This window comes from Homo sapiens, chromosome 12 (assembly GCF_000001405.40).
Source record: "Homo sapiens chromosome 12, GRCh38.p14 Primary Assembly".
Lineage (NCBI taxonomy): Eukaryota > Metazoa > Chordata > Mammalia > Primates > Hominidae > Homo > Homo sapiens.
Genome location: NC_000012.12, coordinates 108685096 through 108702218, shown reverse-complemented (window position 1 = coordinate 108702218; position 17123 = coordinate 108685096). Strand labels below are relative to the sequence as shown.

Below are 17123 nucleotides of genomic sequence, written 5' to 3'. Positions count from 1 at the left end.
GCCTTCCTCAAGTCTGGTTTACTGTCAAATAGCTTCCTAGCCCAGTACCTGGCTTTGAGCTTGTTCCTGTGTAAGCTGTCCAGTGTGCTCCTGCCACATTTACTGTCATCCTAAACATCACTTTGATCACATTGCTTTCCATTTAAATACTTTTGCTCTGCTTTTCCCAGACCTGGCTCTTACCCGTTAGGCTGCTTTAGGCTGACTTTTCCTGTTTCTCACTGTGTACCACTTAGCACTAGGCGGTTTGGTAGTGAGTTGCTCTGATTATTACGTCTGTGTTAGAAGGAGATTAGAAGGCTTTTGAAGTCAAGGGTGATGGCTGTGTCTTTTGAATTCCTCCCATAGCTATTCTTGTTGAAACACTCTGGGGAATAGACACAATTCTCAGACAGCAGAGTGTTGATGTCTAGGGAAAATGTTTACAATCTGAAAAATTACCTTGGCAGGCTGAGGACAAAGCCACAAAATCGTAACTTGTTTTTCGGCTTTCTTCAGCCTCACCTCTACCAGAGAATTTCACTTTGGAGTTTTCTTATCTGTAAAAGGGGAAGGGTTGAAGTACATTATCTGTCAGCTCCCACCCAACCCTGAAAGGCTAATTTTCTTTAATTCTTTCCCTTAATCTTTCCATTGAAATTAAAACTGATGAGCTGTTTCTGGATCTTGAATTAGGAATTTTTCATTTCTTTGTAATTCTTTCCCTGACGCATTTTGCAGTTGTCTCCGGGTATGTGCTGCTAAAAGAAATTTGGATTGCAATTTGGCTACTTTTTAGGAGAGCAGACAAAATGCCATACCATTCTGTTTTTCCTACTTGGAGCATTTCATTTGTAAAAGTAAAGCTTTCAGTTTGGTGCATAATTCTAACATAATTCTCACTCTTCCTTTGCAGACACGATGAGGCGAGTGGTACGACAGAGCAAGTTTCGGCATGTATTTGGGCAAGCGGTGAAAAATGACCAGTGCTATGATGACATCCGGGTTTCTCGTGTGACCTGGGATAGTTCCTTTTGTGCTGTCAATCCCAGATTTGTTGCCATAATCATAGAGGCAAGTGGGGGAGGAGCGTTCCTTGTCCTCCCTCTGCACAAGGTAGGTAATTTGATCTTCCATTCTGGTAGACACCCTCTGATAGTCTCCATACTTTTTCCTTAATAGATTGACAGTTCACTAAGAATTGTATTTGTGAAACCATTAGACTCTGATGTAATTGAAGTTAAGTTCCACACGCCTTACTAACCACATCAGTTTTTCTCTAACAGAGAATCATTAAATAGAATAGTGACCTCTGTTCTGGGGATGCCCTCTATGGATGAAAAAATTATTATAACGATGTTGTGAGCATGGGCAGGCATAGGAATTTTAAGATTTCATTCTTAATCATCTGCTTTTCACAAAAATTTTTCTTTTAGAGTGCAGTTTTAAAAACTGGCTTTTACTCCAAAGTAAAGTTTTAAAAACAGTTACATTTTCAAATGGGCAGAAATTTGTAAGATAATATTCTCTTTTTTTGTGAAGTCATAAGGATGAGCCCTTTTTCTTTTCTTAATTTCCTTTTTTTTTTTGAGTTGGAAATGGAACAAGAACTCAAGAAAATGTCCTCAATATAGATTTCAATTCTGGACAATAGTAAGTTTCAGCGTAGGATTTAAACAGTGTTAACAAGTGGTAGAAATAAAAGATCTTTACTGAGAATGGTTCTATGTTTTCTTCAACTTCAGTAGGGTTCCAAGCCCTCCTCCTTCCTTTATCCTCCCAGAAAGCCTGCTCCAAGGTGGGAGATTAGATAGGAATTTTGTGCATTTGCTGACCAATCATGAATACTGCAGATCAAAATCTATAGTTACTTTATCAGCAAATCCCAGAACTGCAAATAATGAAGAAAAAAAAGCTGTGAAGAGGGCCTAGAAACAGTTGTTTTCTAGTTAGCTTTTAGGAGGAAAATGAGTTTGGTGAGTCCTGAGCTCCAGTGATAAGGGCTGGGTGCTGGTGAGGATGCAGATGTTGGGTCGTATGACAGCTGTTTCCACTCTGCTGAAAACAGCGGGGGAAGTGGATCCCCGCTGTTTCTGAGCCCCTTATATTCAGGGTACATCTCATCACAATGGATCATGTGATTCTGAGAGTGGTTACAATAAAGTGAATTTCTGTCAGAGGGTTGTTTCCCATTGTATGTTGATGTTTTTTCCTTGGGAAAACTCTCATTGGGAAAATGTCCAATTCTCTTGGACTTTTGTTTCAGAGATGCTGGTGACTAACTTGTTTTATTATAACATCTGATTTTTACTTCAGTGGCCAGATAGATAACACAGTAGAACCATCTCCTAACCGAAGAAGGGAGATGGGTGCCTTTGGGGAACAAATTTGATACGTGTTTTCAAATGTACCTTCTTATTGGCGAAGATGAATCTTTTCATTAAGTTGAAAATTTATTTTTTATTTAGATACTTTTATTTCTGTTCAAAAAATTGTCGTTCAGTGGCAGATAAGTACACTACACTGTTATAAGTGTTCTTCATCTGGTTTTGGAGTGGGGATTTGAACTCAAGGCCAGTTGCATTTGGTCTCCACATTGTTTTAGCTTATTCCTTCACCAAGAGCAAGGGGCATTTGGAAACTTGACATTTTACTGGTAGGCTTTATGGCAGCCAACTGAGAAGACAGCCATAGCTTGTTAGCTAAGGTCAGACACTGGAGCACCATGATTTGTTTTGGAGTTACGAGTTTTTATTTCCCCTTTTATAGACTGAGGGATAAATGTAAGACTTTTTTTTTCCTTCAAAGAAATGGAACAAGCCAATTAAGAAGCACAAAATAGACATAATGAATGGCTAATCTTCCTCTGAATTCAGACATTTCCTTTCAACTTTCACATCCACAAAGGTTCTGTGAGTTCATCTTTGCTTTTACAGACCATGAGAAACTGAGTTTCACTTATCCCATTTGAGGGAGACCTGTGTGCAGTGCCCCAGCTAACTGATCTTATGATTTGGTTTTTCCTTGCATTCAGTGACCTACACTTAATGAATGTGTCCTTGTATTTCATTCTTTAACCAGCATTATGGGAACTAGGATAGAATAAGTTGCTTTACAAATTGTCATGTTTAGATGAGGTGTTGCTTTTTAGAGGAGCATCGAGGGTCTTTCCCAGGCTATAATACTGTCTGTCTAGCTTTGCTCCTTAAATATGAGTTTGTTTTAGAGGAGGTGACATTGGTATAAGCTAAGCCCTGTGACAGCCATTGGAAATAAGATCAATACTTGGGTTTCTATAGTCGATAGGTTCATGAGTACTATGTGAGATTTTTGTGTATTAAAGTGTGTGTATTTAGCTCTTAGCGTCAATGTGGCATAGAGGGAAGATCACAAATCTGGGAATTGATGAGCTGTGGAGTTCAGTCCTGGCTCAGTCACTGACTTGTAGTGGGACGTGGATGTGTCTCTTTATCCTTCCGCTCCTCTGTTTCTCTCTCTGTAACATAAGCAGCTGTGTATAAAAGTTATTTTCTGGCCGGGCACAGTGGCCCATGCCTGTAATCCCAGCACTTTGGGAGGCTGAGGCGGGCGGATCACCTGAGGTCAGGAGTTCGAGACCAGCCTGGACAACGTGGTGAAACCTCGTCTCTACTAAAAATACAAAAATTAGCCGGGCATGGTGGTGCACACCTGTAGTCCCAGCTACTCAGGAGGCTGAGGCAGGAGAATCACTTGAACCCGGGAGGCGGAGTTGCAGTGAGCTGAGATCGTGCCACTGCACTCCAGCCTGGACGACAGAGTGAGACTCCGTCTCAAAAAGAAAAAAAAGTTATTTTCTGCCTTGGAAATTCTAGATCATGTCAGAAATGCTTCTCACCTTCCATGGTTCTCAGCTATGAAGTGATTTCCAGTGCAGTTGGTGTGTACTCAAAATTCAGCAAAGAAAACAGTTTTGTTCCATTTTTGTCCCCCTAATTCAATGTATAACTTTGGCAAGTAGATGCCTTTTTACTCCTGGCTGCTTTTTCACTAAGGCAAAGCTGAGCCCAGCAAAGAGGAGTGGTCCTGTGGTCCCTCATGACAGTCATGTGCCTAGGTAGTTCTCAGTAGGATCTGCTATGGCAGGGCTTGGCCCGTGAGCCCTGGAGTGTCAGGTGACACTTGCCTTTTTTTTCTTCTAAGTTGCTGTTCCTACCTGAGATGCTGGCTGGTTACCAGGCATCAGTAGCTGGTAGAAAATAGAATGATCTTCCATGTTATCAGAAAACCTACATTTCTCTATGGGGCTGACTGCCTTCTTGATGTCTACCTTATAATTTTGGTATAGTCATGAATATTTGAATAATGGTTATACATTTTACAGTTGATATTTGATTGTTTACACAATATGAGTGAGTCTTCATATACGATTAGTTGGTTTGATTGTCTGTAAGCAGAGTACCTGCTGTGTGCCAGCATCTGTGCCCTCCAGGAGCACTTGTGTCTAAGAAAGCATCCTGGCAGATTGCTGGTACTGAGGTGTTTGTCTCCTCATTAGAAGTACAGCCTCGAAGAAGAAATATGATGGGGACTCCAACTACATGGTGAACCCATTAATCCCTTTTCAGTACAGGGCTTTGTAATACTAGGGCTCTTTACCCTGGAAAAGAGACTCCTACAACTTTAGTGTCTTGGCAACTATGAAATAGTTTTATCATGAGGTGTTGCTTTGGTTTAAAGGCAAAGAAAAACTAAATTCCCAATTATAATATGAAGTTATGTTTGAAATCAAGATAGCAAGAAATGATGTTTAGATGTGTGTTAGGCTCCAATACATGTTGATAGCAGCCTGGCATGATTTTAAACACGAACCTTAAAAGATGGGTATGGCTTTTAATAATTATCTCATGGGCTTCTGAGAATGTTTTCCCTTTTTTGTTTCTGGTTATAGACAGGCAGGTTAGTTTTGGTGATGCGTTTGGGACTCTGTACATAATAATACTGAATATGTACACGTTGGAATTAAGGTGGATTATGACCCTTTCAGAAAGGCTCCCATTTGAAAACATGGTTTTCCATGAATTTCTTTTGAAAGCTATTTAGTGTCAGCAGTAAATAAGGCTTCTTATTGCAACCTCATGAGGCTTGTGGTTAGATTCTGGGAGAATGTAAAATAAGTTAGACATGGTTTCTGTCTTCCAGGACTTAAAATCTGAAGTGAAAAGAGTAATAGGGATAAATACATCAAAGCACATGCATATACAAAGACACACACATATGCAGCAAGCAGCACACTTAAGAATGAATGTATGCTTATTTTAAGCATATGGTTTATGAGGTGTTTGTTAGGAAGGTTTTATTAGGGAAAGTGGGATTTTTGAAGAGGTCACTGCCGGAGGAATATAGAAAGTCCTCAGTCCTGAGGTGGGTTGATTTAGATTAGCACACGTGATTCCCACTCTCTTTTGTAATGCTTCCATCAAGCTGTGGCTTGCCACTCTGCCATGACTTTTCAAGGTGTGGCTTAGTGCATTTACTTATTCTTTAGTCCTTCAGAGGATGAATAATAGCAGTCTTGCTGAACATAAGTTGGCTTTGTGGTTTTGGCTATGAGGAATACTTTTTTTTCTTGCCACAACTGCACAAGCTGCCTTGTCTCAAGAGCACACAGGTTTTCAGCCCTCTGTGTAATCTACCACGTTGGCATGAATAAGCCTTTCCTTTGTGGAGTAGCCACACTCGTGACGTAGATAGAACTGAGACATTCCCTCCCTATTGTGAACCATGGAGGGCTCATACACACCAGTGTTTCTGGATAGATACACATACAACCCCCCCGTCCCCTCCCTCCCCCCGACACACTTCATATCACAACAAGCCTGTAAATCCTGCCTTAAACAAGTAAGAGGGGGAGGAATCGGTAAGAATTATATGCTCTTGATCTCTTGACATTCTCTTGGCTGGAGGATGCGAACTAGATGGCTCCTGTCTTCCCAAGTTGCTTTCTTTCTCCCTTCCTTCCTTGAGTATTGTGAAATACTGTGAAGCAACTTTGGTGAATTGGAATGATAGCTGATTTCACCCTCACAGAAACTACCTGGGACAAGAATGCTGCTCTGGCCAGGATAGGATGGGTATGGCCAGGTCTCTGTTAGCTTTTTGGGTCATGATCTCTTCTTCTCTCCCATGGGCTCCTTTGTTGTAGCTGTGTGGTACTTTCTTATACACAACTGTGTTTCTCCCATTTATTTTAGGAGCTGTGTGTGGGAATATTTGGGATCTTGCTTTATTTATGTCTGTGAACAATTTTTCAACTCATTTTGCAGTTTTTCATGTAGGGTTTTATGAAAGAATTTAGCTCTACAGAAAATCATTTGAAAGACTGTTTTTTTTTTTTTTTTTTTTTTTTAGTTCTCCCAAGGGTGATACATAGCCAGTCTTCTAGATGCATAGGATTAAGAGCTCATTGCCTATAATAGCATATATTAGAGCATTAGGACTTTAATTTCTTATAGAACCTAGGTTGATGAAGGCAGCTTTGGAATGTTTCTGTCATGTTGGTTGAGGAAGAGATCTTGATTCATTTCAGTCAGTATTCCACTAATGATGATACTTGGTGGTCTTTTCTTCCTGTTCATTATCCAGCTCAGATGTTGCCTTTGATTATTTACTGAAACAGAGGAACTCATCCATTGGGTTCTCTTAGTTGCTTCTTCATACCACTGGTACCACAGCCTGCGTTATCACATTATTAAAATTATTATTCACTTAACGGAGGGAATGGTTAGAATTATATGCTCTTGATCTCTTGACTCACTTGGATAGAGGATGCAAACTGGGTGGCTATGTATATGGTAGCCTTTTGTGCAGGTTCTCCAAAAACTTGCCTTACTATATTGTGGTAGGTGGCCTCCAACACTGAATAGGGCTAGCCTGTGTAACCATAGGGTATGGTGGAATTGATGGAGTGTGAATTCTGAGACTAGGTCATAAAAGCCCACTGGCTGCTACTTTGTCTCTTTTGGAGCTGCCATGTTGTGAGGATACTCCAGCAGCTCTGTGGCAAGGTCCATAGGACCTCCTGATGACTGCCAGCACCAGCTCAACCAGCCATGTGATGAGCCATCTTGAAAGTAGATCCTGCAGCCCTAGTAAAGCCATCAGGTGACTGCAGCCCTGGCTGACACTATCTCGTGAAAAACCCTGGGCCAGAGCCACCCAGATAAGCTGTTTTTGAATTCCTGATCCTTAGCAACTGTGTGAGTAATAAATGTTTATTGTTTTAATCAGCTGAATTTTAGGATAACTTGTTAATCAGCAGTTGATAACTAATACATATATTCTTAGACTGTATTACGTGACTCATAATGTTAGTTCACACAATTCATATATGAGTAATTCAGAGTGACTTAAAAGGCTTTCTGGTAGTTTTGAACACTATATTTCCACCTAGCCTTTAAGAAAAAAATCTACGTAGAAATATAATATCTATATACATATAAACATTCTTAAGTCCTAAGTGAATAATTGAGGGATTCCTTTCAATAGCAAGAGAAAGCTATATGGCAAGATTTTGTTATCCTGTATTCCATGGTACCTTCATATAACCTAAAAAATGTGTTATAAGATCATAGTCATTATCTCGTACTTAACTTCAATTGTGTTATTAGTTTTTAGGAAATAATGTGCAATGTTAACATTGATGGGACTAAAAGTGATGTTTTATTTTCTTCTTTATAATTACCTGCACTTAAAAATATTTTTTTACAATGAACTTATTACATATTGAGATTTTGAAAAATATTATCAGTAATATTACCAGAGTACATATAAAGAGCTAACTATTGCTTAAATGTTTGTGAAATTTAACACAGTACTTTAGAAAAATCACATTCATTCATTCACATATTCATTCCTTAGTGCCTGCATGTGCAGCGACCTGTGGTGGGTTCTTGCTTTTTTTTTTTTTTTTTTTTTTTTTGAGACAGTCTTGCTCTGTTCCCCAGGCTAGAGTGCAGTGGTGCGATCTTGACTCACTGCAGCCTCCACCTCCCAGGTTCAAGCACTTCTCCTGCCTCAGCCTCGTGAGTAGCTGGGACTACGGGTGTGTACCATCATGCCCGGCTAATTTTTATATTTTTAGTAGAGACAGAGTTTCACTGTGTTGGCCAGGCTGGTCTCGAACTCCTGATCCTCTTGCCTTGCCCTCCCAAAGTGGGATTACAGGCGTGAGCCACCACACCCGGCTAGGTTCTTGCTTTTAAGAAGCTTCAACAACTGTGCTTGATCTCTCCAGGGGGGTGCTTTGTGCATGAAGTGCTTTAGCACTGGGGTGTGAGAGATAGTTTCACCCTAGGCTTAGAAGGTAAGGAAGACATCACAGAGAAGGTTCGGTTTGAATTCAGGTTTTTTTTTTTCCTCTGCGTAGGAGCTAAAGATGAAACAGAAGAGGAGCCAACCCAACTTTTAAACTGTTAAGTTAGTAGAGGGGCTCTGTCCCTAGGAGGGCAAAGAAGTAGGTGGTAGGCACATTCCTCCTTCAGACTCCAGGATGTCTAGTTTAGGTGGATTTTTGTAGTATTGCAGAAATAGAATGTTTGATTGGAAGATAAACAAATCATTTATGCATAGTGTGAACTAACATTATGAGTCAAAAGAAGCTGAAGGATAGCTTTTTGGTAGAAAATCCTACATTTCTTGACCCTTTCTTTCACTTTCAGTGTGAATTTGGCAAAATTGGTATTTTCCTTGATTGTTATGGGGAAAAGAACTAGAATAAGCACTGTTTTATATTTTAGAATCATTGTTTTAACTAGATCAACATGGCGTCTTTCGTTTGTATCATCTTTAGGAAAAAGCAGTGACTTCTGTCACGTTGATGGAAATGAGACTGCAGAATGTCAGCAGATCGTACGTGGATAGTCCCCTTCATGAACAGTGTCTCTGTTTTTTCACTTGGTAGGGTGGGATCATTCCTCTGTTCTACAGTTGTAGAAATTGAAACCAAATTGAGTGGTTGTCCAAGACCGTGAGGTTGTTTGTGAATTAGAACTTAGGTTGCTGAGTCCTTATTTGATTTGTACATGTATATTTTTATTAATTTTTTTTCTACTGAGTGTGAACGAATTTTTCTTTAGGGGGGAGGATATAGAATCTGTGGTTTAGCCGGGCGCGGTGGCTCAAGCTTGTAATTCCAGCGCTTTGGGAGGCCGAGGCAGGTGGATCACCTGAGGTCAGCAGTTTGAGACCAGCCTGGCCAACATGGTGAAACCCTGTCTCTACTAAAAATACAAAAATTAGCTGGGCATGGTGGCACACGCCTGTTATCGCAGCTAATCGGGAGGCTGAGACAGGAGAATGGCTTGAACACAGGAGGCAGAGGTTGCAGTGAGCTGAGATAGCACCATTGCACTCCAGCCTGGGCGACAGAGCAAGACTCTGTCTCAAAAAAAAAAAAAAAAAAAAAGCTGTGGTCTAATGGACACTGAATCCTTTGCATTCTTTCTCTGGGATTAGAGAGTTTAATAACAAAAACAGTAACTTGACAGGGCTTTCATTCTGTCAGCTCAGAGAATTGTCTTAGGTTTGGAAAGTACTTGGTCTATACCATGCCTTGTGAGGACACAGTGACAGTGATGAAATCGCAGCAGTTCACATTTGTTGAGGGCTTCCTTTAAGTGCCAGGCGCCGTGCTGATAAGTGCCTTCTTTCATGGGCTACTTGAGAGGGAATGGCAGTCTCCTGACAGTGCTTTTCTGTGTGATCCACAGTCTTTGCCAGCACCTGCTGGATTTGCATTGGCTGCATGTCTGCCTTACTGTGCATTGCTGACAGGCAATTTCCATTTCTACACATTGTGGTACTCTGTTTTAGACAACAGTGGCAGTGCCGGTAGCCCTTTGTACAGATGTGGACATTTGGCACTTGGTAGCTTTGGTGTTAGGGGCAGAGGATTTTGTTCAGAGCCAGCCAGTGTCCTGACATGTCGTGGGATGCCCATTCACTGCCTCCTGAAATAGATTGTCTGATGCCTGGAGCACCTTCAACTGCCAAGTGTATGGGCCGTGAAAAGCTGGGGGACAGGACTGGGAGGGGTGGAGGATGCAGGGGGAGGGCACCAGGTGCAGAACAATGACTTCCAAATTATGTCACGAGCTGCCAGCCACACGAGCACGGCCTGGCCTCATTACCACATGAAGTGCCACAGAAGGGCCTTTTCATTTTCTCCTAGTGACTGTGTTATCCACAGTTTTGCTGGGAGGGGTGGGGTGGGCACCCTGCTCACCCCCAGTTAACAATGGAGCACAAAGTCCTGGCAGAAGGAACTTCCCAATGTACCCCGGGGCTATTTTTGATGACAGTGAGTGGCTGTGACTCACTGAATGTGTGCCCTGGCAGATGATGGTTTCCACCCCACCCCCTCCCCTGGAGATGAGCAGGCAGCCTTTGTGCGTTTCCTTGGCCAGCTTCTCCTGCTGCTGCAGTTCACTGATATGTCCACAGCAGCCGGCCCGCAGGCCTGACAGGGCTCTGACAGTGGTTTTTACCATATATGGCCATCAGAGCGCTGTGGCTGTCAGCCGGCCAGGATAATTTCCTTCCTTTGCTTTGATTGGCTGCACGGGTGGCTCAGAGAATGGTGGGATCTGGGAGTGTGTGGTGAAGAGAAGCCACTGAGTCAAGTGCAAAGAACGTTTAACTCTTTACTGGGTTTGTGGAGCGTGCCAGTCTGTGCTAAGCAGGCTGACAATTGCTGCCAGCAGAAGCCCTCAGTGTGTAAACATGGTAACCCCAGTCTGGGAAAGCTGCTGTATCTCCGGTAAAGAAAGGTATCTGAACACACATTACTCTGAAATAAACTCAAGGTGTCATGAACACATTTCTGGAGTCACGGTTTTGCCCAGAAGCCACCTTATAACCACATGTAGCAAATCATCTGCTCCTGCCAAGTTGAATATCTTCGCCCATTAGGGGTGGGACCTGAGTTGAGTCTGGGGAAGAATGAGCTGAGAGGGCATGTGATGGGACACATGTCTGCTTTCTTGGAGGAACGGTGACTTGGGTTTCATTTCTGGCTGACTGAATTGAGTCTATACTGCAGTCCTCTTGCTTGTGTGGAACTGACTCAGCCATGGAGCCCAAGGCATTAGCCCCTCCCACCCCCCAAAAAAAGTTGTAATATTTTTCTATTTATCATCTCCACCATCCAAGGAGGGTGGATTTTCATTCTGAGACCTGTGGATTAAACCAATGCAGAGCTGCAATGGGAAGGGTTAGCCCTGGAGCTCTTCAGCGTTCACAGAGGGTTTCAGTAGATCAATCTCCAATGTCATTTGCTTACTACGAGGGCTTAGACAACCAGTTTCTCTATTTTCTGATTTGATATTGAATGCTTTAATTTTCCATATTGCATTTACATCTGTAGTTCTTCTGCTTTTCAGCTTTTGCTTTCTAGCTCAATTTTATTTTAACTAGATTCTACCTCATCTTGGGTTCCAAGTTTTTATTTGTTCTCAGCCCAGAAGCATCATATGGAATTACTTGTCTGCAATAATGAGCAGAAAGCATTAGGTTTTCACTTTATAAATTCTTTAAGTCAGGAAGTTAGGAAATACAGCTACTCTGGTTGCTATCGCATATTTGGGCAAGGTTGAGTAAGGAAATGTTAACTTTTCCGTGTTTTTGCTTTCTGATAATAAAATGTTTGTAGTTTTACAATAACTTCCCTCAAGTTCTTAATTGATTTTAAAATATGGTCTATTCAGTATTAAACCCAGTTTTTAGAGAGGATCTGTGATGCAAAAATTATTTGCTTGGCATTTTCACTTCTGTCCAAAAAGACTGCTGTTTTTTACTCACAGGCAGGTGAAGTCTCTGTAGGCCCATACTCCCTCTCCCCAGCAGCTTTTGTTTCTAGCTTACCTTACCTTACAGGGTAACTCAATCTGTAGGGTTTATTCCAGAGCACCTCCTTTTACCTCAAGGATGGTATTTCTGGTTCCCTTAAAGTAAAGCCTCCTCAGAATGTTTTATTCCTGGGCCATGAGCTGTCACTCTCAGGGACCAGCCTGTGCACAAGTCATATATTGTGTGCACCCGTCTTTTTGGTCTGCTGCTGAGTCTCTGTTTTCCATGCCGCTGTCCCCTTGTCCCATGACCACAATCACTCTAGCTCCTCCCCGTGGAGCAGCAGGGGCTTAAGAAATTCAAACAAAACATGTATCCACATAAATAATACTGTCATAAGAAAAAGGAAGTTGAAAAAAATGGAAAACCCACTTCAATAGATACGCTTTTGACTCCTTTGAACTCTGCACAGTGTGAATGGAGCCCTTATGCTTGGGCTGAAAACTTTTCCTCTACTTCTGAGCACATGTGTGACTTAACATTCTCCTTGCTGAGTTGAAGAATTCTCAGTATGTATCACCCAAAGCCAAAAATAAGTTATGATTGAAATTTGGGCACATAAAGTGATTTTGATACTCATTTTTTCCTAAAATGAAAACTTAGATGAATATTAGGTAGGGGTTTGAACAATGTGGAAATCTTTTAACTGTTCTTTGAGTCAGGTCATGTAAAGTATCTTTGTTTGCCTTCCCCAGGATGGGGTGGGGGCTCTTAGGCCCTTACATCTTCGGGTGGTGTAACCAGTCTGGATAATAGGCATAGAGGACTGCAGATCAGGAGATGGAAAAGTACTGGAAGTGAGACAGCTGCCTGAGTTGGATTAGATAAGGGAAACCGTGTAGAAAGCAGTCTGAATCCAGCACCCTAGGAAGGTGTGGGTTTATATGATACACTCCAGAATGCAAACTTGAAAGAAATTGTGTGTGGGATACCTTGAGCTTCTTAAAGGGGAATATTTGATTTGACTTATCACTCGAATGAATGTGTCACTTTTTATCACCATGGGAATTTATTACTTTGTGAAAACATACATTAGTTATGAGAAAGAGTAGGCCTGCTGGGTAAAGCGTTGTGCGACTTTAACATAATGTTACATTTCCTTTCTTGCAGGAACCAGTGATTATCAGATTGATCCATCTTTTTTTGTTTTTTCAGAGATGGAGTCTCGCTCTGTTGCCCAGGCTGGAGTGCAGTGGTGCGATCTCAGCTCACTGCAACCTCCGCCTTCCGGGTTCAAGTGATTCTCCCACCTCAGCCTCCCAAGTAGCTGGGATTACAGGTGCCCAACACCATGCCCGGCTAATTTTTTTTTTTTTTTTTTCTGAGACAGAGTCTCATTCTGTCGCCCAGGCTGGAGTGTAGTGGTACGCTCTCAGCTCACTGCAACCTCCGTCTCCCAGGCTCAAGCAATTCTCCTGCCTCAGCCCTCCCGAGTAGCCGGGATTACAGGCATGTGCCACCACAACGGGCTAATTTTTGTATTTTTAGTAGAGACGAGATTTCACCATTTTGGCCAGGCTGGTCTCGAACTCCTGACCTATCTGCCTGCCTTGGTTTCCCAAAGTGCTGGGATTACAAGTGTGAGCCACCGTGCCCGGCCTGTATTTTTAGTAGAGATGAAGTTTCACCGTGTTGGCCAGGCTGGTCTTGAACTCCTGACCTCAGATGATCCACCTGCCTCGGCCTCTCAAAGTGCTGGGATTACAGGTGTGAGCCACCGTGCCCAGCTTAGATTGATCCATTTTAACACCAATTGGTAGTGTCTTCAACCACAAACCAATATGTGGGTCAGAAATAATTATGTGAGGAATCATTCTTACATGAAGAAACAGTCATTCTGAATGATCTTTTGTAATATGTAGGACATATTGGAAGCAAAATTCCCAATGTTGAATTTCGAGAGTTTGGGAAGGTGAACATGGCTGCGGTACATGTGTAATACACCACTAGCTGCTTTAAAAACACACCCCAGCACAGAACTTTATTGAGACGTGTCTGTCAGAAATTTTCTGTACATGTTTGTGTACATTAACAGTTTTTTTTATTGTACTCAGTACTGCCCTCAATATATAGGATGAGTCTACTTCTTAAATGTGGATTCCTTTTTAGAAGGAGATGTGAGATCGATAAATAAGATATACTGGGCTGGGCACGGTGGCTCACACCTGTAATCTCAGCACTTTGGGAGGCTGAGGTGGGCAGATCACCTGAGGTCAGGAGTTTGAGACCAGCCTGGTCAACATAGTGAAAAAAAATACAAAAATTAGCTGGACGTGGTGGCGTGTGCCTGTAATCCCAGCTACTCAGGAGGCTGAGGCGGGAGAATCGCCTGTACCTGGGAGGTGGAGGTTGCATGCAGTGAGCTGAGATTGCACCACTGCACTCCAGCCTGGGTGACAGAGTGAGACTCCGTCTCAAAAAAAAAAAAAGGGTCAGAGGGGATACATTGTTAATAAGTGGAAGCTGTTGTGATTTTCCAGTAAGATTGATAGGAAGTGCCCTTACAGCTAAGCAATATCATTTCTTCTTTTTTCTTTTTTTAATTTTAATTAAATTGTTATTATTATTATTGAGACAGAGTCTCGCTGTCACCCAGGCTGGAGTACACTGGCGCGATCTTGGCTCACTGAAACCTCTGCCTCCCAGGTTCAAGCGATTCTCGTGCCTCAGCCTCCTGAGTAGCTGGGACTATAGGCACACACCATCAAGCGCAGCTAATTTTTGTAATTTTCGTAAAGATGGAGTTTCATCATGTTGGCCAGGCTGGTCTCGAACTCCTGACCTCAAGTGATCCGCCCGCCTCAGCCTCCCAAAGTGCTGAGATTACAGGCGTGAGCCACTGCACCTGGCCTTATTATTATTTTTTTGAAACAGGGTCTTACTCTGTCACCCAGGCTGGAGTGCAGTGGCGCGATCATAGTTCACTGCAGCCTTGACCTCCTGGGCTCAGGTGATCCTCCCACCTCAGCCTCCCAAGTAGCTGGGACTACAGGTGCGCACCACTACACCTGACTAATTTTTATATTTGTAGGGACAGGGTTTCGCCGGATTTCTTAAGATTTATGTTGAATTTAGTGTGCCTAAAGAGGAATGTTTTTTGCTAAGTCATTTAAGTTATTGAACTTTCCTTTTATAGCAATTTGATAAAGTTATATTTTTACTGATGCTTACATTTTGATTTTCATTCACTTTCTCCCCGCAAAATGCCCATTGGAGGAAATGTTGCCTAACTCTGTGGGTTTAGTTGAAGTATCAGTCTCCAGGAACTCGGCTGTGTTGTAGCTACTTCAAGATTTTTAAGTGTTTTCCCCAAAGCAAATGATAGTGCTTGTATCTGGGACGGTTTCTGCCACGGTGAAGGTTGCTGGCTGGAACATGCTCATAAGACATCACCCTTAGCTCTGGCCAGCCACGTGGAAATTGTGCCATTACACCTCTCCCTTGTGCCAGCTGTATACATGCTTTGGAAGCTGAATTTTCCTTTCGGCTCATGTTGCTTGGCTCTGGGCAGGCTGTACTGGATCTTTCAGATAATAATGTCTGTAGGCCAGTGTCCTGACCTATTTCACCAATGTCCCACGAGTTTATGAACTGGCTCTGGAGCAGAGCCTTTGGGAAACTTGGTGCTGGCCATTTTTGCCACCTGTTGGGTTGACATGCTAGTAATCCCAATCATTTGGAGTTTTAGCTAGAAAGGTATAACAAAAGCTATCCTATGGCATGTGATTGGGACTAGTAAGTAATCAATGAATCAAAATTTATTTAAAGCAAGGAGTCTAATGGCTATTACATTTTCAGCTAAACTACTTCAATTTCATGCCAGAAAAGTAGTAATATTCTAGATTAAGCAACAGAGGTGATTTATCCCTAGTGAAATAGTGGACTGATCTGTTAGTAAAGTGAAGTTTTTCTATCTCTAAGCTTTAGAAGATTGGTGGGAGTTTCTTAAATAATTCATTTTTTAGTTTAAAAAGATATCTAAAAGCTGGCTTTAATTCTTGTACATCTTCCTTTCAGCCTCTGCATTCATTTAAATTTGCTGCTTAGAGGTTCAGGTAAACTGTGTTGTCACCATGACATGTGGTGGATGTCTTTCTGAGTGGCCCCTCACAATCTAGCTAATTATACATGGATTCTTTGGTTTGTTCACTACATGATAAATCAGTATGTGTCGTGCAGACGAATGAGAATTGTGTTCTTATTAGATCCTAGTGCAAAATGTCTTTCAGAATGATGTTTCCTCATCTTTACCATATAAGGCCGTTATTAGTATGGTTTCCTTTAATCTCCATGAACTGGAGCCCTCAGCAGTTTGTAAGTGCCCAGCTTTGTATTTTTAATAACGTATGCTGATTTGGTGAAATATGTTGTTGTGCTTTTGTTTTGATTTCATTATGAGTAAGAAGATACTTAGAGGTGTAAGCCCTTGAAAGCAGGATAGCTGATACTTGACTGTGTGTTTGTGAACATCCAGCATGCCAAATAATCAGTGTACCTTTAAAATGCCATCTACCCCCATACTGTCTTCACATTTTTGTTCTTTTATCACTGTCAGATATTTAGTCAATTGCTTTTCTCTTGTGCTACAGTAGAATACTACTTTCTCTGTTTTATTTAAGGATTTATGATGACATCACAACCAGAGGAAGCAGCTGCTTGTAGAATATCATTTTTTATTAACTGTGTTTCTGATGGCCAATTGCCAATAATTTTTAACATTACTTGTGTGCCTTTTTTTTACAACCCATGGCATAGTGGAAATTTTCTTTCCCTATCCAAATCTAGTATGGTTGGTCAGTGATATTTTAGATCTTTGCTTCTTGACTTTCTCTGTGCCTCAGTTTCTTTATTTGGAAAATAGGGTGATAAGATTCCCACATCTTAAAGGTTGTCATGAGGACAAAGTTATCAAGGTCTTCAGACAGTTCCTAGCTTGTAATTTAAGTACTTAAAAAGTGTTAGCCATTGTTATTATTTGTTTTGATAGAAAGGACAGAAATAGCTGGCAGTTGCTCTTTCAGTGACATTCAGGTTCCAGAGAAAATGTTGAGCTCTAGTACTTTCAGGCTGTGGATTTATTGGGGCTGAGCTGGGAATGGCAGTAATGCTTATTATTATTCTCAGATATCTTGACTGAAGAATACTGGTGAATAGCTATTAACTTTTAGCCAGGGTTATTTAATTTTAACTTCAAAAAAGAAGTCATTTAGTAAGAAGCTTCTTAGTATGTAATTAAGAACAACTAGTGCTAGTACTTC

General features: G+C 41.6%; 1 protein-coding gene across 3 annotated transcripts in view, besides 9 other annotated features; it reads left to right on the top strand.

Moving 5' to 3' along the window:
* The window catches only part of CORO1C (coronin 1C), an 86410-nt gene that overhangs the window by 29300 nt on the left and 39987 nt on the right, over window positions 1–17123 (top strand). For all 3 annotated transcript variants that reach the window (NM_014325.4, NM_001276471.2, NM_001105237.2), the window contains exon 2: window positions 896–1095. In NM_014325.4, the coding sequence (NP_055140.1) occupies window positions 901–1095 (195 nt within the window). In that variant the 5' untranslated portion in view covers window positions 896–900. The remainder of the gene's footprint in view (window positions 1–895; window positions 1096–17123) is intronic.
* Window positions 168–700: an enhancer, noted in NCBI's record as "H3K27ac hESC enhancer chr12:109095295-109095827 (GRCh37/hg19 assembly coordinates)". NCBI's record gives its function as "activates a minimal SCP1, AML or CMV promoter by ChIP-STARR-seq in naive H9 embryonic stem cells {active_cell/tissue: H9 hESC(naive)}" and the evidence as "EXISTENCE:reporter gene assay evidence [ECO:0000049][PMID:30033119]".
* Window positions 872–1166: an enhancer, noted in NCBI's record as "tiled region #4572; HepG2 Activating non-DNase unmatched - State 15:Elon". NCBI's record gives its function as "activates a minimal TATA promoter and a strong SV40 promoter by Sharpr-MPRA in HepG2 cells {active_cell/tissue: HepG2}" and the evidence as "EXISTENCE:reporter gene assay evidence [ECO:0000049][PMID:27701403]".
* Window positions 7313–7372: an enhancer, noted in NCBI's record as "active region_6976". NCBI's record gives its function as "activates an Ori minimal core promoter by ATAC-STARR-seq in GM12878 lymphoblastoid cells {active_cell/tissue: GM12878}" and the evidence as "EXISTENCE:reporter gene assay evidence [ECO:0000049][PMID:35858748]".
* Window positions 8157–8669: an enhancer, noted in NCBI's record as "NANOG-H3K27ac hESC enhancer chr12:109087326-109087838 (GRCh37/hg19 assembly coordinates)". NCBI's record gives its function as "activates a minimal SCP1, AML or CMV promoter by ChIP-STARR-seq in naive H9 embryonic stem cells {active_cell/tissue: H9 hESC(naive)}" and the evidence as "EXISTENCE:reporter gene assay evidence [ECO:0000049][PMID:30033119]".
* Window positions 9383–10064: an enhancer, noted in NCBI's record as "H3K27ac-H3K4me1 hESC enhancer chr12:109085931-109086612 (GRCh37/hg19 assembly coordinates)". NCBI's record gives its function as "activates a minimal SCP1, AML or CMV promoter by ChIP-STARR-seq in primed H9 embryonic stem cells {active_cell/tissue: H9 hESC(primed)}" and the evidence as "EXISTENCE:reporter gene assay evidence [ECO:0000049][PMID:30033119]".
* Window positions 10065–10746: an enhancer, noted in NCBI's record as "NANOG-H3K27ac-H3K4me1 hESC enhancer chr12:109085249-109085930 (GRCh37/hg19 assembly coordinates)". NCBI's record gives its function as "activates a minimal SCP1, AML or CMV promoter by ChIP-STARR-seq in naive H9 embryonic stem cells {active_cell/tissue: H9 hESC(naive)}" and the evidence as "EXISTENCE:reporter gene assay evidence [ECO:0000049][PMID:30033119]".
* Window positions 10065–10816: a biological region, named in NCBI's record as "NANOG-H3K27ac-H3K4me1 hESC enhancer GRCh37_chr12:109085249-109085930".
* Window positions 10292–10586: an enhancer, noted in NCBI's record as "tiled region #839; K562 Activating DNase unmatched - State 1:Tss". NCBI's record gives its function as "activates a minimal TATA promoter and a strong SV40 promoter by Sharpr-MPRA in K562 cells {active_cell/tissue: K562}" and the evidence as "EXISTENCE:reporter gene assay evidence [ECO:0000049][PMID:27701403]".
* Window positions 10537–10816: an enhancer, noted in NCBI's record as "active region_6975". NCBI's record gives its function as "activates an Ori minimal core promoter by ATAC-STARR-seq in GM12878 lymphoblastoid cells {active_cell/tissue: GM12878}" and the evidence as "EXISTENCE:reporter gene assay evidence [ECO:0000049][PMID:35858748]".